The sequence below is a fragment of the Homo sapiens genome, chromosome 1 (genome assembly GCF_000001405.40).
Source record: "Homo sapiens chromosome 1, GRCh38.p14 Primary Assembly".
Taxonomy (NCBI): Eukaryota; Metazoa; Chordata; class Mammalia; order Primates; family Hominidae; genus Homo; species Homo sapiens.
The window spans coordinates 63,987,251-64,014,787 of NC_000001.11; the positions used below are offsets into that span (position 1 = coordinate 63,987,251).

General features: G+C 39.8%; 1 protein-coding gene across 4 annotated transcripts in view, besides 1 other annotated feature; it reads left to right on the forward strand.

Moving 5' to 3' along the window:
• Positions 1-27,537, forward strand: part of ROR1 (receptor tyrosine kinase like orphan receptor 1) — a 407,482-nt gene that overhangs the window by 213,234 nt on the left and 166,711 nt on the right. For all 4 annotated transcript variants that reach the window (NM_005012.4, NM_001083592.2, XM_011541526.2 and 1 more), the window contains one exon: positions 22,055-22,126. In NM_005012.4, coding sequence (NP_005003.2) covers positions 22,055-22,126 — 72 coding nt within the window. Of the gene's footprint in view, positions 1-22,054; positions 22,127-27,537 lie in introns of those variants that run through there.
• Positions 19,467-19,761: an enhancer, noted in NCBI's record as "tiled region #8799; HepG2 Activating non-DNase unmatched - State 24:Quies, and K562 Activating DNase unmatched - State 9:DNaseU". NCBI's record gives its function as "activates a minimal TATA promoter and a strong SV40 promoter by Sharpr-MPRA in HepG2 and K562 cells {active_cell/tissue: HepG2 | K562}" and the evidence as "EXISTENCE:reporter gene assay evidence [ECO:0000049][PMID:27701403]".

Consider the following 27,537-nt stretch of genomic DNA (forward strand, 5'->3'; position numbering starts at 1 on the left):
TTATATTCCATGTTGTACTGGTTCTTAACCCACATCATGAGGATTAAATGAGATAATGCATGTGAAATCTTCATGCCTGACCCATAAGCACTAAATAAACAGCAATTGTCTTTAACCCGTGCTTATTCCACTCTGTCACACTGCCTGCCAACTTAACGCACTTGGTCTTTTTTCAAGGTATATGGGCTGTCAGCTTATCTTCACTGTACTGTTAGCTCCTCAATTGTGGGATCTGGGAATGTTAATCTTTGTATCATAGTGACTTTTAAGTTAGATTATTTAAACATGTCATTCTAATCATAATGCAGAGACACATGCATGCTTTCAGAGAGCAGCAGAAATTCAGTTTTAATTTATCATTGCATTGAAGCTGGAAGAAAACCTGAGGGTATTGTTCTCAGAAGTTTTAACGAGAACAACATTCTCTTTGCATTATCAATGTTCCTCAGTCGCCACTTGGCTGGAGCAACTACCTCTGGCTTCAGTTAGCTATTTACATTCCTCTATTTTTATATAAATTGTGCTATATTAGCATATATTTCACACTGTGACCTAGTGTTTCCCAGATCCTTTAAGCCAGGCTATTTGTACATTAGTCAACGTCAATGGAAGTAAAATAGCAAATTGAGTACAGACTGTAGCCCTGCTGCATTGCCCACTCTGTCATGCTGAAATGGATTCCTTATTCTAAGAAGATTTGCTGTGAAATACAGTCTATTTACATTAAGAAGACCTCTGTATATTTAAGGCATAATTGTTTCAGGGCCTTCATTAATTCTTGAACTGCAAGACCTAGATTTTCTTTTCTTGTATCTTTTCTATAACAATGGAAGTCAGGAGTTTCCAAAAAAAATAACAAATTGTTCCTCATTAAAATGGAACTGAAAATGGTTTTCTGGAAATGTGCTTTACAAACAATGAGAGAATCTGATTGTAAATCAACTCCAGGACCCAGCTGTCTCAGGGTCCAGGCTGGGAAGCTCCAGGATAAAAGGTAGTCTGTATTTTTATGGAAAAATAAAACAATTTTTTACTTCCGTAATTGATGAAGTGCTTATCTTGTCATACAATTTTAAAGTCGGAAGAGATCTCAGAATTCATTTAATCCAGCCCCTTCTTGGAAAATAACTTCTTCCTTGGTATCTCTGACATATGGACATCTAGTCTCTTCTAGAATACTTTTAGCCATGGGCAACTCACTCCTTTTTCAGAAAAAATTGTGGTTAAACATATGTAACATAAAATTACTTTTTAACCATTTTAGGTGTGCAGTTCAGCTGCGTTAAGTACATTTCACATTGTTGTGTAATCATTACCACCATCCAATGCCAGAAATTTTTCATCTCCTCCAACTAGAACTCTGACCCATTAAACACTAACTCTCGATTCCACCCCACCCTGCCTCTGCCTCCTGGCAACCATCATTCTACTTTCTGTCCCTATGATTTTGACTAGTCTATGTGCCACATTTAAGTGGAATCATATAGTATTTGTCCTTTGTGACTGGCCTATTTCAGTTATCATAATTGTCAAGATTCATCCATGTTAGAGCATGTGCTAGAATTTTCTTCCTTTTTAAGGCTGAATAATATTACATTGTATGCACATGCACATTTTGTTTATCCATTCATCTGTCAATATACATTTGGGTTGCTTCTACCTTTTGGTTGTTATAAATGCTGCCATGAGTATGGGTGTGCATATTTGAGTCCCTACTTTCAATTCTTTTGTGTATATATTCCCAAAAGCAATTCCAGAAGTGGAATTCCTAGATTACATGGAAATTTTATTTTTAATTTTTTGTGGAACTGCCATATTGTTTTCCACAGTGGCTGTACCATTTTACATTCCTACGAGCAGTGCATAAGCATTCCAGTTTCTCCACATTTTTGCCAACACTTGTCATTTTCTGTTTTTGTTTTTTTTTTTTTTTAAACTCTTTAGCGTTGTAATGGCATGGACTTTGGCTTTGAAACCTGGCTCAGCCACATACTAGGTGTGGGAATTTGAACAAATTATTTATTCTCTCTGAGCCTGAGGGGTTTTTTTGGAAAATGTGGGTAATGGATAATATTAATTTTATAAAATTATGAGGATGAAATGAGAAAATTCATGTAAAAATACTTAGTTCACCATCTGAAAATAGGAGGCTATCAGTGAATATTTGCTCTCGTTTTTTTCGTGGTCATTGATTAGTCCATTAAATTTAGGGCTACTCTGATGTTAGACTGACTTCTTCATTTTGAATTAAAACCTACTTTGGTGTAACTCCTGTAGCTTGTGTAACAGTTGCCTTTAATTCATCATTCCTGACTCTGCTCTTTACAATGTCACATGATAAATAATATCCCCCTCCCACATGTCACCTGTCTGATATTTGAAGGCAGCTATCAAGTATTCACTAGTCTTCTCTTGCTTTGGTCGAACACTCTGGTTTCCTTCAACTGTTTCTTAAATGATGTGGTTTCTAGATCTCTCATCATGTATATCAGTCAATTCTGGACTACAGTCTAGTAGAATAGGATAATTGGAAATCACACCATCTCTCCCCTTATTTTGGCTTTCCTGCCAAACTGTGATGTCCACATGAAAGAACAGATGCATGGATATGCGTCTCTCAATCAGTTCAACACATTGAGCCCTTGGCCATGGCTTCCATCTCTTACTCAACCTCTCCCCTTCCTCATTGCTCAGAGTGCTTGATGTCTAAAGCACTTGCTTTCATTGAGTTTAGGATCAATTATAATTTCAAATTTTCTCCATTTTGTTTTTTCTCTCCTGTCAGCTCCTTAAGAGAGACCAAGGACTACCTGTTCCCGTGTACCTTCCTCATGGTCCCACTAGCACCCAGCAGGCATGAAGGCTGTACTTTTGAAATAAAATTCAGTTTCGCTCTGAGACATGGAGCTGTGTCTTCTGACACAATCACAAAAACCACAGAGGGCATTGGCTAGAGTTTGAGCCTTTTCTGTTGCTGAAGGGAATACCTAAAGACTTGCCCAGGAAGAGAAGGCTAGAGTGGGAGAGTATTTTGGCTGGAACTCCAAGGAGCACTTTGAACGTGGGTCTTCAGACATGAAAGTGTAGGGAGGGCTTCACTCCACCCCACCCTGTCCTGTAATTCCTGGACTCTTCAATGCCAAGCGAAATTATCAGTTTCTAAATTTGCCCTTAGGAGGGTGAATAGAGTGCCTTAGAAATACCAGTGCTGTTTCTGAAAGTTCCCAAGCAGTTGAAAGAATTCTGGATTTACATGCCTAACTCATCTAAATGTCTTTTCTTTATGAGCTCGTTGACATCCAAGAAGACTTTTCAGTTTTATTATGAACCTTTTTACCTTTAAAAACAAAAATCCCAAACCTCTATTCCTGAGAAGGGAAGTTGTAATTTTGTCAAAGATAAAATATTTGAATGGTGCTCTGTCCCAGCTCCTCCACTGTGTGTTTGAAAACCTAGTTCCTCATGTATTATCCTCCCAAACACATGTTATGTGTTTACATTAAAAAAAGGTAAAAGCCAGATTCTCTTCCTTTCTTTAAAAATAGAACAAAAACAAAACAAAAAGTGAAGGAGAGGGAGGAGTAACTCATTTCTTGGCATTTTAATAGAGTACCCAGAATCCTCCTAATATAAGGCACTATTATAGTTGAAAGGCATATTAAAACTATGTATAAATGAAAAACTCTGTCTTTTAAAAATTGTTTATTTATTAGACTGGAGTGCAATGGTGCAATAACAGCTCACTATAACCTTGAACTCCTGGGTTCAAGTGATCCTCCTGCCTCAGGCTCCTGAATAGCTTGGACCACAGGTGCATGACACCATGCCAGGGTTTTTTGTTTGTTTGTTTTTTGTTTTGTTTTGTTTTGTTTTGCTTTTTTGTAGAGTCAGGGTCTCACTATGCTATCTAAGCTGGTCTTGAACTCCTGGCCCCAAAAGATCCTTCTGACTTGGCCTCCCAAAGTGCTAGAATTATAGACTGAGCCACCGTGCCCAGCCTAAAAGCCCTATCTTTAGTAAAGGACTGGTAGATTTACTTATGATGGACATACATGAGCTTTATGGCATGAGTTTTGTGACTTCTACATTAACCACTCAGAACACTGACAAGCTGTAAAAATATTATAGATCACAGCCATTTTTCAGATATGTGCAGTTGCCAGATTGCTGATATGCAGATCTTATTTTGCAAAGTCAAGGCAAAGTGGTCCCTTCTTAGTTTGCCTGTTTGCCATATATGCATTTGGAATGATGCCACACTGCCTGGTGAGACCCCAACAAAGGCATTACTTGGTGGCGTAGAAAAATAACCAATTTCCAAGGAAAGACAGAAAGAGGCAGGTCTTCTTCACCCATATGGGCCTGTTGTCTTCCAGGTCTAATTTGGGCTATGTTTGGTTTATCTGTGTGGTAGACTTCACTTTTCTTACATTAATTATTTGTGATCTGCCACCTGGGGAAGTTGGAAAACATCAGAAGTTAATGCTGTTGGGTTTCTTTAAGGAGAAGAAAGAAAGGCCTAGAGGTGTCTTTGCAACAAAGAAGGTAGCTATTAACCTTTAAGGGTGTTGTAGAAGCCAGTATAACATCACTAATGTGGTTGTCATGAAATGCAATGACCCTTCTCTCTTCTGTCACCTGTCTCGCTTGACTAACTCTACCACTCACATTTCATGATTCAGTGTGGAGAACATAATGTGACGAATAGGAAAGGAGAATGTAAACACCTGTAGTAATGTCTGTCTAGTGTGACCAAAATCCCTGACCTTATATTTTAACATTGTAACTTTTGGGAAGAATTTCTTTTGATACATGTTTTTATTTTATGAACTTAAAAAAACCCGACAACCCTTGTATATGTCAGAGTCTGTTAGTACTGTGTGATACATTAAATAGCAGAGAATGGAACAAATATCTGTGGAATAGGTTAATTATTATTATTATTATTATATTTATTTATTTATTTATTTTTTGAGATGGAGTCTTGCTCTGTCGCCAGGCTGGTGGAGTGCAGTGGTGCAATCTCGGCTCACTGCAACTTCCGACTCCCTGGTTCAAGCGATTCTCCTGCCTCAGCCTCCCGAGTAGCTGGGATTACAGGCACACACCACCACGCCCAGTTAATTTTTGTATTTTTGGTAGGGATGAGGTTTCACCATGTTGGCCAGGATGGTCTTGAACTCCTGACCTCATGATCCACCCGCCTTGGCCTCTCAAAGTGCTGGGATTACAGGCGTGAGCCACCGTGTCAGGCCAGGTTAATTATTTAATGCAGACTTCTGCTCAGGGTATTTGTGCTTAAAGAGATGGACTGTATAGACACATCCTAGTAAAAGGCTTGAGTTACTGGTAGTTTAAACAGAAGCCACTGGTGAACAGGGGAAAGAACTATTGGTTCAAGTTTAATTTGGCATCTTTTTAGCAGTGACATTTGGCACATCACCCTCTAATCCTTGGTTTTGTCACCACCAAAATGAAGATAATAACACATCAGCAAATGTTTGTGAAAATGTATAAATGTGCTTTGCAAACTCTCATGGATAGATAGCATGTTATTAGTATGATTGCTCTGCTAATGAGTGTAGACTTTGCTGAAGTTCTCCTCCTCCTCTTCTTCCTGCCTCTTCTTCCTGCTCATTACTGTCACAACTACCCCTTATGAATTTGTGAGCCATTAGGGTAGATTCTGCATCTCTTAACCCATGTCTTTTTCTGCCTGCCAGTCAGAGTCAGCAAATATTAGATACCTAATAAGTGTCCAACACGAAGGATTTAAAGATCAGTACTCAAAATATACAAATATGGACATGCAGCGATACCTAAGTGACTGTTTACAGTTCCCCAAATTAGTATGGCTCCCTGGGGCAGAAAAATCTTTTGTCTACATTTCTAATGTCTACTCATCCTTAAAACTCAACTCAAAAGTCAGTATCCCTTGGCAACCTGAGATGTTCATTTCTGTTGCCCTCCTACTCGCTCTTATGAGGTGCTCTTTCTATGGAGTCCCGTAAAACTCCGGGCATACCTCAGAAGAAACACTTGTCATTTGACAGAGGAATCTTTGAGAATTGAACTCTTTTTAATAAAAATTCTCCCATTTTGCACATGGTATAGAATTTTAAGAGTGCAAAAAGATGTACAGTAAAACATCCTGCTTGCCCCTGACTTGAAACCACCAGTTCCCCTTCTCTGGTGTAGACACTGTTCCCAATTTTGGGGCATCTCTTTTATAGATATTTTATAAAGATGTATATTTATACATGTAAGAGTATGCATACATAATGCATATTATACATTCCATATGTATCTGTGTATAAGAACACACAAGCACATTTTTGTTTTTGCATAAATTATATTGTTGTATACACACTATGAGTACTTTGCTTTTATTTTTAAACCTAATGATTTATTTTGGTGATTGTTCCAAATACAGTGCATACAGTTTCCTTGTTTTTTTATAACAGCTGCATTGTATTTCATTGTGAATTTTGGATAGCCATAATTTATTTAGGTAGTCTGCTATTGCTGGACAAGTAGGTTGTTTCCAATCATTTTATATTATAGACAATACTGCCATGAAAATGTTGTAACAATATCATTTCATGTATGTTTGAGGGCATCTGTCAGATTAAATTCCTAGAAGTGGAATTGATGTACACACAGTTATTAACATTTTAAACTTTCATAGATATTGTCAAGTTGTACCAATTTATGCTGCTTTTGATATAAGGGTTCCTGATTGTTCATATCCCTTTCAGTATAGTGAGTTATCAAACTCTTCATATTTCCAATCTGATTGGGGAGAAATAACATCTCATTGAAGTTTTATATAACATTTTTTATATTATCAGTCAGGTTATCATGTTTGATATGTTTAAAGACCACTTACATTTCCTTATCTGTAAATTGTGCACTCATATCCTTTGTCCACTTATCTATTTCCTCCTTGGATTTTTTTTCTTTCTGATTGGTAGGAAATTTTGCTTACTATATTGTAGCCCTTTGCCTTTTGAGCTGCAATAATTTTGTCTCCCTAGTTTGACATATGTCTTTTGATATTAATAACCCATTTATGCCTAAGTAGCAATTTTTTGAATTTTTGCAATCAGACCTCGGCGGGGACCTTGAGCAGTAGGATATCAATAACTCTCACGTGCTTAGCCTTCCAATAATGGAACACTAGTCATAAATGGTTAATACGGTCAAATTTATTACCTTTTTAAAGGCTTATAGATTTTTGTGTCAAACTTTGAAAAGGTCTTCACACTACAAGGACCTTGAAGCAGCAGGTCAGAAAAAATGCAGACAATGGAGAAGGCTTGTGGGGAAAGGCCTGAAGAAGAGGGTCCTCCTAGTGGAATAGCTCACAGTGTGGGACGGTGACATGAACTTAAGGGAGAGGTAGTAAAGTGAAACTCATTGCATTGCTTCTCTCTCCCAAGTGCTTCCACCAGCCACAGCAAATTCCCCCAAATACCTCCGTCATCCCTGACTGAAAATGGATGACCACATTCCATATGGGAAAAGTATACACCACCTCTGAGCATCCTCTTATCAGCCAGAGATCAAGTTGCCCATCTCAGAAGGAGATACACAGGATCAGACAGGCTGCCTCATCCATCAAGTGCACAGTAGCTTTGGTCGTTCCTGTTCATTGCAGTTGACTGGAAAGGCCTCCTGAAATGCTGATAGCTGTGGGAGGAGGGAGAGCCCTCCCTTTCCACATATGGGCAGATCTTTGGCAAATCCAAAGGTGGTCTTGCATTTTTGTGAAAGTTCCTATGCAGGCAGCGACAAACAGCTAGGTTGTTTATAAAAGCTGCAGGTGGAATGCCATTTCATTTTGGATGTAGATATTGACACCCGGCAACCAAGTCAAACTGTTTCCATCAGATGTAAAAGCCAGAACAGTCTTGGCAGGTTGATGGCTAATGAAAAGGAGTTGCAAAATTAATTACATGGAAAATTATTTTTTTTTCTAATAAGATAATGAAAAAATACATACTGGATTAGGGAATGACAAACTCACCAAGCTTAAATAGCAGTTGTTATTAGCTGAACTCTGTACTTTTGGATGTGAGAATATCATTCTTCCCGGATCATTGTTTGAAAGAGACCTCCTGTACTTTTGCCTCTCTCAAATTTGATTAAATGAGCTGCCAACACAAGACCCTGTCAGACTAAGATGACTCTAATAGGCAGTTCTCCGTAGCGCTTCACAACAATGAAAGTAAGTTCCTCCCTCCATTTGTCTTTTGCCTTCAGTTTCTCAAACTTATTTCTGAATGCACAAGGATTTTTGAAATCTGGTCAGCTTATTTAGTGGAATGATTATGGGCTTTGCAATCAGAAAGACTGGATTTCAAATCTTGGCTTTGTCAATCTATGGCTTTAGATTAGTTCTTAACCTCATTGAGCCTTAGAGTTCTCATCTGTAAATGGACATGTATTACCCACAAATAATTCTATATAACAAATTACCCCAAAATATAGTGTCTTAAAACAATGAGCATTTATTTAGCTGAAGAATAAATGAGCTATTATTTATTATTATAGCTATTATCAAAAAAGATTGGTTAGGCGGTTCTCTGATCTGGACTGAGCCAAGGTGATCTCGGCACATGCTATTAGCCAAAGCAAGTCTAGATTCAATGGTACAGAAATACACTCCACCTCTTCATTGGAGGAGATACAAAAAGATGTGGATACAGGGAGGAATAAATTGTGGGCATTTTATAGTCTACTACACTACCTTATAGGAATAAATGTGATAATATAGGGAGCATGCAGCTATCATATCACCTATGCATTCAGAAAACGTCTATTGACTACCTACTATGAGTTTGGTGCAACATTGATACTGTGAGATACTGTGAGTAACGTAGAAGAAAGTAAAATCTCATCCCCAGCCTCAAGAAGCATACAATCTTATTAAAAAGATGTACCCCCAAAGAAACTGTAGATCACCTTACAAAGTGCAAAGTCTCTTAAGAGTGGAACAGATAAAATACTGTGGGGTTTCAGAAGAGGGAGAAATTAAACTAAAAGGCTCTGGGAAGAGATTCTCGTCCCAACTTATGCTCTGCTAATGTTTTCCTCGATTTAACTTTGATTATTGATCTCCCCAGGCTATCAGTAATGACATGGTGCAGGAAACCCAGTCCAGACAGGCGAAACATTTTAAACTGGTGCAATTTCAGGTGAATTAAGTATTTGAACATTGCCAGCCATCCAGATTCTACACGCCCAGGCTAATATGGCTGGAGCAAAACCATCTTACTGTCTTGCAGGATGATAGTAATCCTCTTAAATTTATCTCTCTGATTAAGATAATTTCCACTAATCCAGGAGTCCCTCAATCCCATGAACTTAAACACTTGATTTCCAGGGACAGCCAGAAGGTATAAATCACACTTTTAATATATTTTTCTGAAAATAGTTCTTTTTTTCCCCCCTTTCACGCCTCACAGTTTGGAGCTTTGAAATAATTGAATTAACAGTGCGCTAGAGGGGGTTAGACAAAAACAAAAACTGGGAAAGGGACTTTACCAGCAGTGCAGTAGAGAGCCTGAGTGGAGCCAGGATTGGGTGAGGAGAGATCATGGCTATGTTCTGGCAGTTGGTGACATGTCAGGGGACCTTAGGCAAGTTCTCTGCCCGAGTCTGGGTTTCTTCAAGTCCAACCAGGGTATGATTATCTCAGGCCTTGATCCTTTGCATGTGGAGTCATGAGCTAATGTCTGTTCTGTGTACGGACTTTCTTGAAAGGAAAAGTGCTACCTAAATACAAGGTACTTGTATTACTGTAAGGTGCTTGGAATCTTAATAGCTTTCTCAACTGCAGCCAAAGTGGGCTTCTCTTTGTAAATGCTTTAAGTGGCTGAGAATCAAGGCTGAAAAGGGGTTTGTTTTTCTCCCCATCTATGCCTAGAGTAGGATGGCTGCACGTTTTTAGGGCTTGCCCAATTTGCCCATTTATAATGGAGGGCTCCACAGACATCACAGCCATTGAAATCCTATGTAAAATAGAGAAAGGCTAAGACAATACTACACACTGCTTTTTGCAGGAAAATAATTTTCTATGTAAAAGTATAGTTGTCTAATTCAGTGGTCAACCAATTAAGAGAACCTTCAAGTTAGACCTAAATATTTGGCTTTGAAAGACGTTCAAGAGGTACCAGTTTTGTTGTTGGTTAATATTCATTGAGCTGTCTCAATGTTGAGGTTGCTGCCCACACTGAAATTTTATGACAAAAGCAAAAGTAACATTTTAATTGGCTAACTCCCTTTCCCCTAGACTCTTAAATTACATTAAAGTTCTCAGTTCATTTAAAGCTTTTTGTGTTTTTCAGTTATTTTTACAGACATATTATCTGGGTTTCCTTACCCTGGTGGTTTGTAGAGGATCGGTGCTAGGCTGCAGGTTATGTTAAGACTCACCTAGGGAGATTCAATAGTTTAGAGACAGGGGTCGAAAAATCATTATTTTTTTTAACATGCTCCCCAGCTGAGTTTGGGAATCATTACATTAAACACTCTTCAGGCTGTATCTATGGTTAGTTTCTGTATCTATGATTAGTGTTTTTTTTTTTTAAAAGTCTTTACCCAATTGTGAGAACTGCTACTTCGCTAAAAGTTTACCATCTGCTGGACATTGAAGTCATCTCCAAATATTATCCCAGTTAAGCCTCATAACAGTCCTGCAAGGTCATTACTATTATGCCCATTTTATGAATGAGGAACTGAGTCTTAGAGGTATGAAGTAATTTTAAGCTGGTGTGTAACAGAGCTGGGATTTGTGTTTGAACAACACAAAGCTGACACCTTTCATCCTTGTGCTGAACTGCCTCCCATCTAACCTATTCCAGGATCATTTAGTAGTCAGGCAGGACACAAAGAAAGCATGAGACATGACCCTCCCTCTCAAGAAGTTTACTGTCTGAGAAGAATGAAAGGAAGAACACATACTCACTGGTGGCCAAAGGAACATAAAATTAAGTGGAAAATTGTAAAGTAGAAAATTAGGGTAATTTAAGGTTTTTTTTTTTTGTCTTTTCAATAGTAAACTGAGTATCATTGAATTAGGGGGTTTATTTTCTTTCCTATTAAATTACATGGTTGTTTTGCTGTGATTTGAACATAGTGTGAATCAGAAGCATCCTTCTGTTTGAGGTCCCAACATGAAAAATATTTTTATTGATATCAGTGTTATAATCTTTCAAGGAGATGCAATTTGTGCATCAACATATTCTGTTTTACATATTCTATTTTGCCATTGGTCTCTAAACACACAGGTTGGAGCAGAAATAATGTAACCTGTACCTAGTACCATGTTGAATGGACAATTATTTTATCTTTTTCAGGGGCTAAGTGTAAACTAGAAAGACAAAAGGAACTGAAAGTTTAGAACGTCTTAGACAAGTACATTAGGCTAACCCTCCATTCCCAGCAGATATTTATGTTGCTAGGGAAATAAAAGCCAGAAAGACTCAGTTCTGATTGAAGAATCAATTTAGGAGGTTGATATGGTTTAGCTCTGTGTCCCCACCCAAATCTCATCTTGAATTGTACTCTCATAATTTCCATGTGTTGAGGGACCCAGTGGGAGATAATTGAATCGTGGGGACGGTTTCCCCTGTACTGTTCTTGTGGTAGTGACTAAGTCTCACAAGAGCTGATGGTTTTATAAGGGATTTCCACTTTTGCTTCTCTCTCATCCTCTCTTGCCAACGCCATACTGTAAGAAGTACCTTTCGCCTTCCTCCATGATTGCGAGGCCTCTCCAGCCACGTGGAATTGTGAGTCCATTAAACCTGTTTTTCTTCCCAGTCTCGGGTATGTCTTTATCAGCAGCATGAAAACAGACTAATACAGAAATACAGACGTATACATGGCCAAGGCCAAATCACTAAAACTGAGGGAGGCATTCTCTGTTTCCAATAGAAGGCTCCTTTGAGTATCCAAGTTTGCAGGCAAAGACAGATACGTGATTATGACAGGTGAAGATGTACCCACTGTAGACCATCTTTTCTATGAAGATCGGAGTCTTTCTTGGGGAGGTGCTATCCTCACCAGGTCTCAGCTCACTGTTTAGTTGTGGTGGAAAATTCTGTTTTATTCAAAGGAAGAAATTAGATTATCCAGGATTCCATGTCTATCTAAATATCTGGTTTGCCATAAGCCACATAAGCCTCATCACCAAAATCTTTGGTCAGGACAAGATCCTCCAGAACTGTGCTAAGCCCTTTGTCCTTCCCAGGCCCCTATTGCAGCATTTATCATATTATACTTTAATTTTTTGTTTGCTTCTCTGTGTTCCTACCAGAAAATGAGCTCCATGAAGTAAAGAACTGTCTCAATTTTGTTCACCATTATATCCTAGCACCTGGCTAGCACTTAGCTAGTCTGGAACAGAATAGGTGCTCAATAAATATTTGTTAGATGGATGGATGGATGGATAAATCAATGAACAAACAAATGAATTTAATATCATTAAACTCCAAATGAACATAAGGAGTTGTGTAGCTCCTTGTGGCAATATAGTTTTCTAAACTGTCTGCTAATATACTATGGCTTTAGGAAACACCCAGTATAACTTCATTCCCATTGTGTATAGGACTTAACCAAGACTTCACTTGTTTTTAAAGAGTCAAGAACAAACTCTCAGTCTGTCATGGAATTGCAGCTGTGAAAGCATCTTCCTTGTGTCTCTTGTTTCTTTTGAGTGGCATGTGACTTTGAATTGGCCAGAGACAATTAGTAGGTAATAGATTTTTATTATAAAATGGATTATAAAATATGAAATGAAAATGTACGTGGGCCATACAAAGGGGAAAATGAAATGGCAAACTCCATAAGACAAAGACAGATGACACAGAAAGATGAGTAAGAAGAAAAAATTGCCTGGAGGCACTTTTTGGGGGAAGCATGTTTAAGGAAGGGCAGTCAAGTGGAAATAGGAAAAAAAGAGTAAAGTTTGTTGATGTCATTGGAAACCCGAGATGTCCACAGCTACTGAAAGGAAATGAAATGGAACCTCTGTAGGGAGCTGAGACCAGTTTCTGAGCGAAGCATTCTGCAGCATGCCTCCTCCCTTTTATACTCTGTCTTTGCCAGCTTCTTCTGAGGCCAGAAATAAACAAATTATTTTATTGTATTAAGCATCCATTGAGTCTCCAGTGGCACCATGGATGAATGAGGGAGTGTTAACTTTGGGTCCACTCATTTGAACTTCTCCTTGGGGAAAAGCAAGATATGAACCATTTTGAAATTTATTTTAGGACTTTCCACTGTCCCTAAGGAGATCCTGCCTCCTTAGTAACTAGTTGGGATGTTTCTTTCTTGTCTTTAACAAACAAAACAAATAACGACAAAAAGAACTAGAAGGCCCTGGATTGGAAAAAGTTGCTATGGCTGTAGTGGAGTGAGACCATTACTGAGTTATTTGCACTTCCTCCAATGTGCCATGGTCTTTCTAATACATAGGTCTCCTCTTAACCCAGAACAATCTTTCAAAGGACCACCTTCCTGCCCTTTGGGATTCCTCCTCCCCAAACGGGAATATGTATTCTTCCTCAGTGATGTCTTAGAACCCTGTGCCTACCTCTGTTGTACCTCTGATCACATATTTACCTCTTATCACATATTTACTTTTAGAGCCATGGCTTATTTTAAAATATTAAACACATTTCCCAATGTATTTGCTTATTATTGCTTCTTACATACAACTCTTCCTTCTAAATGCAGTTTCCTTTTTACAGGAATGAATAATTTAGCACAGAAGTCTATGCATGGGTTCATGACAGCTTTATTTGTAACAGCCAGAAAATGGAAACCACCAAATGTTTGCAGCGAATGGTTAAACAAAATGTGGCATGTCCATACCATGGAATACTCTACACAGCAATAAAAACAAACAAACGATTGATACATGCAACAAAGTAGATGAATCTCAAGGGCATTATGCTGAGTAAAAGAAGCCAGTTTTTAAAAGGTCACATACTAAATGAGTCTGTTTATACAACATTCCTGAAACAACAAAATTATAGCAATGGAGAACAGATTAGTGGTTGCCAGTGGTCAGGAATGGTTGGGAGGAGGGAGATGGGTAGGACTGCAAAGGGGTTGCACACAGGAAATCTTTGTGGTGACAAAATTGTTTTATCTTGACTGTGGTAGTGGTTACTCGAATCTACGCTTGCAATGAAATGGCAGAACTATATATACATATTTTAACAATGTCAAATTCCTGGCTTTGACATTATACCATAATTCTGTGAGCTGTTAACTATTGGGAGAAACTGGGTGAAGGGTGCAGAATCTCTCTGGTCTTTACACAGCTTTTGATGTCTTATGGAGACGTTTCCCTCAACCCCACCCAAGTCCTGAATGGACTTTCAAGAGTCCTAGCAGCTTCTCTGGACTGTTAGGAGAAGTATTTCCAGCACCTTCCCACAGGTAGGGCGGCTCTCCCAGGCTCTAGTAAAGACTTTAGGCAGGGAGCTCAGATTTCGCTCTGGCCTAGGGCTACATCTTGGATTATTAAATGAACATTAAAACTGCAGGCCCCAGTCCACAGGGCCCATATTCATAGGCACCTTCAGCATCGGCGTCCACTTTGTGTTATCCTTTTTGGCACCAAGAATTTCCTTTTCTTTCCATCTCAGCTATGCATCATATATTTCCTTGTGACATTTTATTCAGTACTCTTCAAGTTTTTAGTCTCGTTGTGGTGGGGGTGGTGGCTAGGGGACAGGGAGGCTGTTTTTGTCAGGTCTTATTGTTAACCCCATCACGCTGTTTATAATTGCCTGTTTGTGGTCATGTACTCCTCTCCCACCAGACTGTAAGGTTTTAGAAGGTGTTAGGGACCAGTTCAACCTTTTTTTTTTTTTTTTTTTTTGAGACGGAGTCTCGCTCTGTCACCAGGCTGGAGTGCAGTGGCACAGTCTTGGCTCGCTGCAACCTCTGACTCCCTGGTTCAAGCGATTCTCCTGCCTCAGCCTCCCGAGTAGCTGGGATTACAGGCATGCACCACCACGCCCAGCTAATTTTTGTATTTTCAGTAGAGACGGGGTTTCACCATGTTGGCCAGGATGATCTCGATCTCCTGACCTTGTGATCCTAGCCTCCTAAAGTGCTGGGATTACAGGCGTGAGCCATTGCGCCCGGCCTGGTTCGAGCTTTTTCATCCGAGTTCTTACACATAGAAAGTGCTAATACATATGCATATATAATGAATGAATAAGTCAATCTCTATAGTTCCATGGAAGAGAGCCCAAGTATGATAGTTTTAAAGTAATATAGTTTTCAAGAATACAGTCTATTTTTATTCACTTTAAAGATGTGTGTCATTGTGGTGCTTTTTGTAGCATAGTTTCTTTAAATACAAGAACTGCATGTGGTCTATAGGTTGAATTTAATAGATTTTAAAAAAGGAACAGCATCTCCAAAGAGGAAAAAAAAAGGCATTTAAGTGTGATTCAAGAAGTATTTCCTCTCCTCACCTTGTGCTGTGCCATCCTTTGGGGATTTTAGAATTGGTGAAACAAACATTGATCGTTGAGGAGCTTGGCCTCTGGTATTGGTTCTCCAGCTATGTACTGCAGAGCTTAGAGTTCCACAGGGGACCTCTGGGGCTGAAGGGGGTTTAAGCCAGGGAGCAAGTGGTTATGTCTCTCAGCTCCTTCCCCCATCCCCCATGTGGCACAGTTGAAGATGCTCTGGCTTTGCCCTCAGTCTTCCTGGATTTGATGATGATCCCCCTCCCTACCCTGACAAGCTGATTGGGCAGCTGCCTTCATTCTGCCTCAGGTTCATCAATCATAAAATGAAGATAATAAAGGTACCTACCTTATAGACTGTTGACGGTTGAGAAGATCTCTGAGCACAAGCAGAGTCTTTTGGACTTTGACAAAACCTAGGCACCTTTTCCTTCCTTTTTTTTCTTTTTCTTTTTTTTCCTGCAGATCTCACCATATAACAATACAAATAATAGCACAAATTTTGATATATTATGAATTTTTCTTCAACAAAGTAATGGATTCATCACATATATAAGAATTATGCTGATTACAATGTAATTACATGGTTAAAAAGTGATTTCGTACTGCAATATAGGTAGTGTGACTGGGTAATTGAGCAGGGGTTTAAAGTTGCAGGATTGTGCCATCTTCTTTCTTTGTGACTATATTGATAACTTCATTTAGAGATTGCATCAGAAATCCAAATTTGAGGTCACTGAGGACTAGAAGATCCTTGTAGACATTGAGCATAGTACTTTCCAGTCCTGACTATCCCATATAGGATGAAGAAAACTCCAAATTTTCTCTCTCCTCAGTAAGTCAGCCGAGTCCCTAGTGTGGAGAGGCCCCCTCCTTCAGGACCCCAGATGTGGGGCAATTGTGAGCCTAGGGCTAGAGCATGGCTCAGGTTGACTGACCTTGCACTACTGGGGAATGTAGCCTGCCTGTCCTTTTAAGTTACAGCAGACTCTTACTTTTCCAAACAGGCGCCTTTGGTTGAGGTGATTTACCTGGCTATGGGCGTCTCCATTGAGGCACTAGGGAGAGGAAAGAAACAGGGCTAAAAGCCTTCACCAAACAACATCTAAAGTAACACTGAAAACCAACAGTCTCAAAGCCATCAGCATCTTTGACTGTTTTCCCGCCACCCTCCAAATGATCACAAGTGGAGGCCTTCTTTTACCATAGGAAGAAAGTGTGCCCCTTCTATGTGACTGACCCTGGCTGCTTGGAAATTCCTTGAGTGTCTCTCAAAGCTCGGCCTCTGAGAATACATACCACATCTTATGGCTATACACGGCAGAACATGCAGCTCAGTGAGAAGTCAGCATGTATTTCCTTTTGAGCCACCTCTAAAGTCTGGCTCTATCTTAGAACTTCTGTGATTTTGGCGAAGCCACTTCCCTACCAGGGGCCTCACTTGCTTCCTCTGAAAAATGAGGAGATTGTATGACATAATGTTTTAAACAATTGTTTAAAACATTGGGGCATTTTCCACAGTACCTGTAAACACAACAATATATAAAATAGATAAAAGTAGAGTTGTTCCTTTTGAAGGAGGGTCTAGAGCCTGTACTCTTGTCCTCTGGAACCCCAAATCCTCTTATGTTCCTCTATAAATAGCTCCAAAAAATCCCATGGATCCAAAGAATATAATTTGATAAATATGTCTTGGGCCTTGAGGGCCCACCCAGTTATAACATTCTAGGACTCAGTGAGTGGTCAAGAAAGGCAGTGGGGTAGCCACTTGCTTCTCTTGCATTCAGCCTTTGCAGCTACTGGGCTGGCCGCTGGTCTTGTGAGTATGCGCATGCCTGTGTAACCTCACGCATCACTGAATCGGGGATACAGGATGTGGCATGGCTGGGAGCTTCTTGGAAGGGCCTCCACATCCTGTGAATGTTGGGTCTTTACCTGCCAACTGCTGAGATGAACCAGTAATCCTTTCGGAGAGCACAGGCTTTTATCAATGAGGAGGATTCAAGGCTTACTTTTTCCTTCCTTCCAAATAACACTCCCACTGTTGAGGCTTAAATACCAAAACCTTATGGTTTGCAGAATCAGTGCCAAAAAGTCAATCCTCCGAGAAACTGCAAAGATAATAGCCCCTATTGATCAAATCGGGAGGAGAATAGCTTTTGAGGTTTGCCCTCCTAAAAGAGGTCGAGAAAGATAAGGGTTGGAGTTTTCTAAAACATGCTTGGTTTGCTCAAATTGGATAAAACCATATAAAAACACTTATGTTCTTAGAGAACTGGTGACCAATTCAGGAAAACCTCACAAAATGAAAAGACTGGCTTGGATTAGTGAGGCATGTGAAATGCAGTGTCTTTCTAAGAGCATGGTAAATGTGTTATTTCAAATACAGACAGTGACTTAGTAGCTAACCAAGTACATCCATGCAGAGGATGGCCACTGTCTGCCTTACTAGACAAAGGAGAGGTATGAAAGCCCTTGAGTCTCTATGCTGGACACTGTACAGGAGTCTTTTGGTCCATTAGTTAATCATTACCTCAGTCCTTTGCTGCTCCCATTTTATGGATGAGAAAATAGAAGTTAAATGATGTTCAGTAACTTTCTCATGATCACAAAATTAATAAGTGTCAGATAGTAGTGTTAAAATCTGGTGTGTATTTCCATTAAATAGTCTACTGTCTTCTAAATGGCACATACACATTTGCTATTACCATAATGCTTTTGGTGAAGAGAGGCTGCCAGGCTGGTGGTAAATATACCTGGAAATGTCTCATGCTTTTGCCAGTGGTGAGGCGAATAGGAATCCATCAGTGGAGATCCTACAGGGTCAAAACTTGTGGCCGTGTCTCTCTCTGAAGCCACTGGTGGCCATGGAATTGATGGAGTTCAGCTGAGATGTGCTTGATTTTTCTCACTTAAACTTCAGTTTTCCTTTCAGTGAAGAAAAAAAGCTTATTAAACATCACTTTGTGAGGGGAGATTATTAATATTCAACTTTCTACATAAAATAATCAGCCTTTATTTTAAAAAAATATGGCCTTGGAAGATATTATTTTTCAGGGAAGTTATTCATATTTTAAAATATTTTATCTGTTTTTATTATCATTTTATCTGAGAAGCTGAACACGTGGTTATCTAAAGGAATGGATCTTGAAGTTGAGAACAAAACTCCCCAGAATCAGCACAATCACTTAATGAGCTTGCGAATTGAAATTATCTTTGCTACAGCCCAAGAACTGAGTGGTAATTAGTGTCCAGGGACACGTGGGGAACAATTTCAGTGTTAGCAGTGCCAAGAATCTATTCATTTGTCATTGGTCCCAAATTATATTCAATCAGCAATTCAACTCAGCTTGGAAAAACCAAGTGACATATAGCTAACTGTCTATAAAATTAACACTGTAAAATGAAACTATATTTCTGGCTGTGAGCAGCAGTAAGATGAAGCTATGAAAATATTGCATGTAAATGCTGTCAAGGTTCATTTTAATCCCACCACTTTCCAACCTATGCTTCCTTCCCTGAAATGCCGCCTTGGCTGCCAACCTTCTATTCCCAAGCTCCCTGAAGTCTGGGTGTCGGGGTGTTTGATGAGCCTTTTCATAGGTGAACCGCAGCAGTCCATACTACTGAAAACAAGGGCTGTCATTATTGAAAGAGCCAAAGTGGGTGGCAGCAGCATGGGGCTCAGACTGGAGTTGGGGTTGGAGTCATATGTGGAGGGCCCTGAAATGTAGACAATTAGCTCTTCTGGGGAAAGCACCTGCACGAAATACCCGTTCCCCAAACAAGAGGTTGATAACAGAAGCACTGCTTTCCACTGTGGCTTTGTAGTAAGCATTTCTCCTACTTGGGTAAAATTTTCTTTTTGTTTTCATATTTTGGAATTAAGATCCCTGCCATACTGCCTATCTGACATCTGGTCCCCTTGAAAGAGTCTATGCTATTTTTGGCTCAGGACGTTGGAGGAAACCAGGGCCACTGTAGGTGGGGAGGGTATGTGTGGTTCATCTACTTCTTTCCCACCTGCTTCTAGGACTAGGAAAGAGGTAAGCCAAGGAGGTCTGCACAAACCAAACAATCCTTTTGTCTCTGCTGTGGCAGGGAGATAAACTAGAAGTATGCCTTTGCAAGGTCTCAGTGAGTCAACATCCTGTTCTTGTTCAAGCTTAGTCAGTGACGATGACATGTGGCCATTTGGCAGACAGTCACCATCAGTAAATATGGAAATACGAAAAATGTGCTTATCTCTGTGAAAAGGTGAGGCCAGAGGTAAGGTGAAAAAAAAAAGCCAGGTTTTACAGGCTTGAGTACTGGTCAGCATGGGCTGCCAGAAGGTGTGGAGTGCTAGAGTCAAAGAGACCTGGGTTTGAATTGCAATTCTTCCACTTAATAAAGTTCATCCTGCATTCTATCTCAGATCAATTTTTAGTGGCTACCTAGAGCACTGTGCTTAAAGGACTCTACGACAGATCCCAGGCTTAACAGGTAAACAGAGCCATAATTGATTAAAGATGCCTACACTGGATTGAAGTAGGAGGGATTGACAACTTGTATGCCTTATAGCTAATGACCCTGGGTCCTCTAAGGTCCTGTCCAGCCCTAATATTCTCTAGTAATGTTCTGAGTGTGTGTGTGTGTGTGTGTGTGTGTGTGTGTAGACATAGCCTGAGGGGAGGTTAGTATAACCCCATTACAATATATTAGTAGCGTGGATTAAATTTTCAAAAAACAAGAACAACAACCAAGATTATTTGTATATTACAGTCTATTATTAAAGAGTTTTAACAGCCCGTAAGTACTTCTAACAGTCCATAAGTACTTCATAGTGTATTATGTCCTTTAGATTATTGATTTGTATGTTTGCTTTGATTCATGATGGCTTTGAAAATTATATTTTAAGTTATTTACCACAAATGACTCTCTATATTCAAATACTTAGCTTTCATTTGTCTTGACCTAAAATTCCAATGTAGAGAAACGAATTTCTCTATTCACAGAAATGGTAACAATTCCAAACACGACCAGTGAAATTAGTTACAGGAGCAATGTTGTTCTTCCTTAGGAAGGCTATTAAATTTATTAGTCTAAGACTGGTCTTTCAACAAGAAAAGGAGTTTATGTTTGATTATGTGTGGTCATTTCTGCAGATTTGTTTTCTTGTTAATGTAGTATTTTAGGGGCGAGGTGTATTTTGCCCTTGTTCTTTTTTTTTTTTTTTTGCAATTTCCATTTTTATTTTAGATTCAGAGGGTACATGTACAGGCTTGTTGTGAGAGTATATTGCATGATCCTGAGGTTTGGGCTTCCATTGATCCCATCACCCAGATAGTGAACATACTACCCAATAGGTAGTTTTTCAACCCTTGCCCCACTCCCTCTATCCTTTTGTAATTCCAGTGTCTATTGCTCCTATCCATGGTACCTATGATTTTACTCCCACTTATAAGTGAGAACACATGATATTTGGTTTTCTGCTTCTCTGTTAATTCACTTAGGCTAATGGCCTCCATCTGCATCCATGTTGCTACAAAGGACATGATTTCATTATTTTTATGGCTACATAGTATTCCATGGTATATATGTACCACATTCTCTTTATCCAGTCCTCTGTTGATGGGCACCTAGGTTGATTCCATGTCTTCGCTATTATGAATAGTGCTGTGATGAACATATGATGCAGGTGTCTTTTTGGTAGAATAATTTATTTTCTTTGGGGTATATACCTTGTAATGTGATTGCTGGGTTGAATGGTAGGTCTATTTTTAGCTCTTTGAGAAATCTCCCAACTGTTTTCCACAGTGGTGGAACTAATTTACATTCCCCCAACAGTGTATTAGCATTCCGTTTTCTCTGCATCCTTGCCAGCATCTGTTATTTTTTGACTTTTTTTGTTTTTTTTGAGATGGAGTCTCGCTATGTCAGCCAGGCTGGATTTCAGTGGCACCATTTCAGCTCACTGCAACCTCCGCCTCCCAGGTTCAAGCGATTCTCCTGCCTCAGCCTCCTGAGTAGCTGGGATTACAGGTGCATGCCACCAGGCAGGGCTAATTTTTGTATTTTTAGTAGAGACGGGGTTTCATCATGTTGGTCAGGCTGGTCTCGAACTCCTGACCTTGTGATCCACCTGCCTCGGCCTCCCAAAGTGCTGGTATTACAGGTGTGAGCCACTGTGCCCAGCGTGACTTTTTAATGATAGCCATTCTGACTAGTATGAGATGGCATCTCATTGTGGTTTTGATTTGCATTTCTCTGGTGGTAAGTGATGTTGAGAGGGTTAATGTAATATTTTACATTTTAATTTTCAAGCCAGTGTTTTGAAGTAAAAATCTTCAAATCTGGCCAATAGATTGTTCATTTGGATGGCATCTAAAATGCAGGCGCCTCTACTGGCATCTAGAGCCACCATTCCAGTCTAATAAGCTATGGGATTGCCGTGGTCTCTCTCCAAAGGCAGGCCCTTTGGAAATCTCCTCTAATGCTTCTAACAGCCTATAAATTACTATATTTAATATTGCCCTTGTCTTTCTCCCTTCCCTTCTTTTTCTTTTCAGAAACAGAGCTGTCAGTCAGTGCTGAATTAGTGCCTACCTCATCATGGAACATCTCAAGTGAACTCAACAAAGGTACACAGTGGGGGCACACAGGGGAGGCGAGGAAAGAGGTGTGGAACTGTTTTTAATCCTGGCATGACCTTCTTTGAAATCAACTGTTTTTCAGATCACTGCAAGGAGGTGGGGGCCAAAATAAATCCCCAGCTTACTTTGTGATCATTTAACATTGAATTACTTGGGATTCTATTATTTCTGGAGAGTTTCTTTCCCCCCCTCGTTCCTTTTTCTTCTTCCTCTAAAATGTTCCACATGGTAAAAATGCTTCAAGATGTGAAATAGGGTCATTTCTGACCTTTCTGACACTACATCTAGTGGATCTTATTTAGGGGATTTGATTCAGCCCAAGCCAGGATTCATCAGAGCTGTTTGCTCGGTGACCTTTCACGATGAGCATTTGATGTGCTTGCAGGGTTCAGGACCGAGTATCTGGAATGTTTGTAATTGCCTGTGCATAAGGATGGCAGCTTCCTTTGTGCACGTGGGGAACAGGTTTCTGCTAGGAGATTGTTGTTTAGCATTAATTAAGCCCCGCCATATGTTAAGCATTGGGTATTTTATAAAGACCCTATGTCCTGGAGTGGTACATCAGGACACATTCAAAACCTCTGCAGTCTGGCTCAATCTACCTTTCTAGCCTTAGTTATCTTTATTCCCCTTTATGCATTTCCAGCCAAATTTCGATTTCTTCTTATACATCCTGTGCTTTTCTGCCTCTCTGCTCTCACCTTTTCACCTGGATTGCCTTCTCTTCTTTGCCAATACTCATTCTCCCCCTTTTGCAAGGCAACAAATTACTTCTCCCTCAAGACCAAGCATAAAATTTACATTATCCAGTCTTGTCTAATCCCTCCAGCTGGAAGTGGCCTTTCCCTCTTTGAAACTCCCATAGCTCTCTTTCTTCTCTGTTCTTCTCTTCACATTTTCTATATGATGTTATGGTGATTTATATACTTATCTCACCCTTAAGCTTAGAAGTTCCTTGTAGGAGGGTTTCTATCTTACTTTTTTTTTTTTTTGGTCTCCATCACAAAATCTAGCACAAACTCTTATTTGTAGGAAATTCTCAATAAATGTGTGTGGAATGATGAGTCACATCTTACCTGGTGAGAAGCCATAGCCATACATATTTGTGTGCAAATACATTCAGCAAACTTACTGAGTTTCTACTTTAGTTCAGGCATGATTCAAGGTTCTGAGATTACAGTGGTAAAGGGAGCTCAAAAGTCATTGTCATAAATGGTCTTTTATGATTAGCTCTCTATTGTCTACTGACATAGTTTGGTTGTGTCCCCACCCAAATCTCATCTTGAATTGTAGTTCCCATAATCCCTACGTGTTGTGAGAGGGACCAGGTGGAGATAATTGAATCATGAGGGTGGTTTCCCCCATCCTGTTCTCATAATAATGAGTTAGTTCTCATGAGATCTGATGGTTTTATAAGGGGCTTCCTCCTTCGCTGGGCACTCATTCTCTCCCCTGCCGCCCTGTGAAGAGGTGCCTTCTGTCATGATTGTAACTTTCCTGAGACCTCCCCAGCCATGTAGAACTGTGAGTCAATTAAACCTCTTTCCTTTATAAATTACCCAGTCTTGGGCAGTTCTTTATAGCAGCATGAGAACAAACTAATACATCTACTAATACATTCACTGTAAGTTGTATTTCCTCTCTGAGAAGAGATAAGTTTATTTTATAAAACAGCAATGGGTGAAGTTATTTTGCTGGTTATACTTTACTAGGCACTTTAGGATGGTGGAATGAAGTGAGATGTCTTTTCACCTTAAATCAAAGGACATTTAGAATATTTTTTCTATTGCCAAATTTGACCTGACATTATTTTTCTATTAAATATTAAATCAGGCACTCCATGTTACTCCTCTCCACCTCCAGCATCAACCACAATGCCTAGAAAGCAGATTTTCAACAAATATTTATAGAATATGTTTAATGGAAAAGAAGAAATAAAAGACCCTGAACATTAACTTAGTACCTGCTCTGTGCCAGGCACTGTGCTGGGTGCTTTTTTGTGAACTTATTCTGCAAGTTCCTTATGGTGCCAACAGAAAAATTATATCATTGCACACTGCATGTTATTGATCAGATTCCAGTTATGGCAATAGAAAAGCATCAATGTGTGCTAAGAAAGGCAGCAGAGCCAGCAGTCTAGAACCCAGCCTGCCAGACTTGGAATTTCTACCAGACCAGCACTGTAATTAGTAGTAGTTGCCCATTAAGAAAGTAGTGGTGTCAATAGTATGAACCTGCTGGCTGAAGGGAAGGATAAAGGCAGGCCCCAGACTCCTTTATTTGTTCAACACAGACTTCCAGAGAGTATGGATGGCTTTCTGGAGGTACGAGGATGCTTGGCATCATCTTTCTCTAGAAGGTAATTAGTGTATATTCTTTAATTTCCATTTTGAATGAGAGAGGAAGATCATTTGTTGATCAAAACCTTATCGATTCCTACTCTGGTCTAGGAACTCTATGAAAATTAGGATATAAAGATAAACCAGGCAAAGGCCCCTGTCCTCCATGAACTCAGAGACTATTTGGAAAGACTGATAGCTAAATGCATAATCAAAGCCTTCTGGTCAATTTGGTAGATTGAGCTTTCAAGAGACACTTCTTCCAATCACAGAGAGATACTAGTGAAATATACAATGAAGAAAATAATCCATTGCCAAGCTGGTACACAAAGAGGTGAAATCCCTAGGTTCCAGAAATGAAGAACAAGTTCAATACTAGTACAATGATCTTTGAGGAGGAATTAAGCAAAAGAGTCCATGATAATTTGAAAACTATGGGTACTCTCTAAGGCCTAGAGTTTTGGTATCCCATGGGGATAAGAGTTGGAGCCACAGGAAACAAACTCCCTGCGTTAGGATATGAATGAAGAATGACTGGCCTAAGTATGAAATAAGGAAAATTCTGCTGAGGATGTGATACAGAAATCTATGAAGCACCTTGGGCCATTGGGATCACCCAGGAGAAATCAAAACCTCAGCCTGTACTACATGTGGGAGTGGGGTTGAGGTTCTTCTCAGGTATTGCACAAGCCACAAACCAAGATGGTAACATAAAAACTTGGCCTGGAATTGATTAAACTAGGAGACACTGACAGCAGCAAACCTAAAACCAGCTCTTAAAAATGTCTCAACATCCTCATGCATGAAGGTTTTCCACCAAAGACAAAATTTTAAAAATGAAAACCACAAAACAACAATGGCAAACTCCTGCTGATGTTGAGCTTACTTTAAAAAATTATAATGCATACAAGGGAGGGGAAGAAAGCCACCATTAGTAAGGGTTAGCAGACAAAACACATGGAAAAGCTCATACCTTAGAAACTAAACACAGTGGACCAATTTGAGAGAGTATATATGTTTAAAACGTTTCATGGTGAAAAAGTAGAAACCATGGGGCAAATGCAAGATAATATGACAAAAAAGGCATATTTCAAAATAACTAAATCAAAATTATATAATTGAAGAATAGAGCTATGGAAATTAGAAGTTTATCAAATGGTCTTAAAGTGATACACTCAGGTCAAGAATAGTAGTGATCTGGGAGACAGATTTGAGATAATACGGTGGTTTAGAAAATGGACTTGAGCCAGGGTGACTGACTAGGTTTGAATCTTGACTCCACTATGCGTTTCCTGTGTGACTTTTAGCAAGCCTCTCAACCTATCTGCTTTGGTCTTCTCATTTGTAAGATGAGGTAAGAAAAGCACCTACTGCATAGGGCTGTTGTGAAAATTCACCTGGCCAGCAAATCTGATAAACTCATTGGAGAGTAAGAAGTGATAGCTGTTTTGGGTTAATATGGTTATTACTTTGGGCTTGATATTAAAATATCATGCGTACTTCAACAGTCTGGTAAGGCAGGCATATTTTAGGGTTGGGGTAGACATCTTAGATTCTGATAAATCATCCCTTTCTGGCCTTCCACACTTTAGTGTTCATTCATACAAGTGACATACTTCTTAGCTTGGCAACACAAGATTCTCCATGGTCTTACCCCTACTGACTCTTCTTATCTTACCTCCTGTCCCCATACTCAATATTCAATTTATTTCAATAATCTGCCTCCGATTCCCTAAACATACCATTCTCTTTCCAGCCTCTATACCTTTGTTCATGCAGCTTCCTCTGACTGGGTTTGTTCTTCACTTGGCTAACCCCTCTTTTACTTAAGCACACCTTGAACATTCCCTCCTTCCCCATTTCCCCGCAGTGCCCCTAATGGACATACTTCTGAATAACACAGGTGGTATTCCTTCCTTGTTGGAACCTCCTGGAGGAAGAGACAGATGATTAACAAATCCTTCCATCAACCCCTTTGACCATGACATCAACAGTGCTCCAAATTATGGGGTACCGTATTAGCCTATGTCTATCTTGATCAGAATCCTTACCTCGGTGTATTGAAATTATCTATTTCGTGCCTGCCTCTTTAAAGTCAGGGTTTGCCTTATCTATTGTCTAACACCATGCAGTAGGTAACATGCAGTAGGAAACATGGCATTAAATTATTTGGGTTCAAATCCCAGTTATGGTGTGTAAATGCCTACCAGGCGTGAGGCACCTGCTAAGCAGGTTGCACGCATCATTTGAATTCACACCACCCTTTGCAATAGAACAGATAGGCAACAGAGGCTCATTTGGGCTAAAGGATTTGATGGAGGGGAAGTGCCAGGATTCCCACCAAGGCCTCAGGGCCAGGTCCAAGGACCATGTCTGTTGTGACAACTGAGTGCATTCATATCCCCTCCTCCTGTGGGGCAAGTTCCCTCACGTGGAGAAGCAGTAAAATACAATCCATCTCTTGGTGGGCTTTAATGCCTTCCTCTTCACCCAGCTGCTGTGTTCCACCTGTCAGTCCCACAGCAGCTCCCCAGCCACACTCAGGTCCCAGTGTTCTGTTACATGAGTCCAGTCACTGGCATTAACCAGTTACCTGTCTATCCTTTCCAACAGGAAATGAAATTTAAAAGAGACAAGGCCACCCTGGAAGAGCCGCTGAAAGCTACTATTGATGGGTCAAGGGGGTAATTTCTGAAACAACTGCTTCAGAACCAAATACTGCCTAAAATAAATGGATCTACAGGGGCTCAACCTCAGCTTCCCCATAAGAGTGTTGGGGTGGGTGTGATAAGGGCCTATTTCCCCTTCTACCATACTCAGTCACAAGAGGTTTCAGAGGTTCTCTATAGAAAGCCAAATGTTTCTTTTGGAGAAGGGGCTGGAAATTGCTCCCATAGGCAGCAGAAATGGAGGGAACCTACTACTTAAAAAAAAAAAAATACTGAGGCCTGTTTCCAACTGCAAATAGTTCTCTGTGCTGACAGACTATATATATATATACACATACGCACACTATATATATATATATATATATATATATATATATACACATTTTGTCCT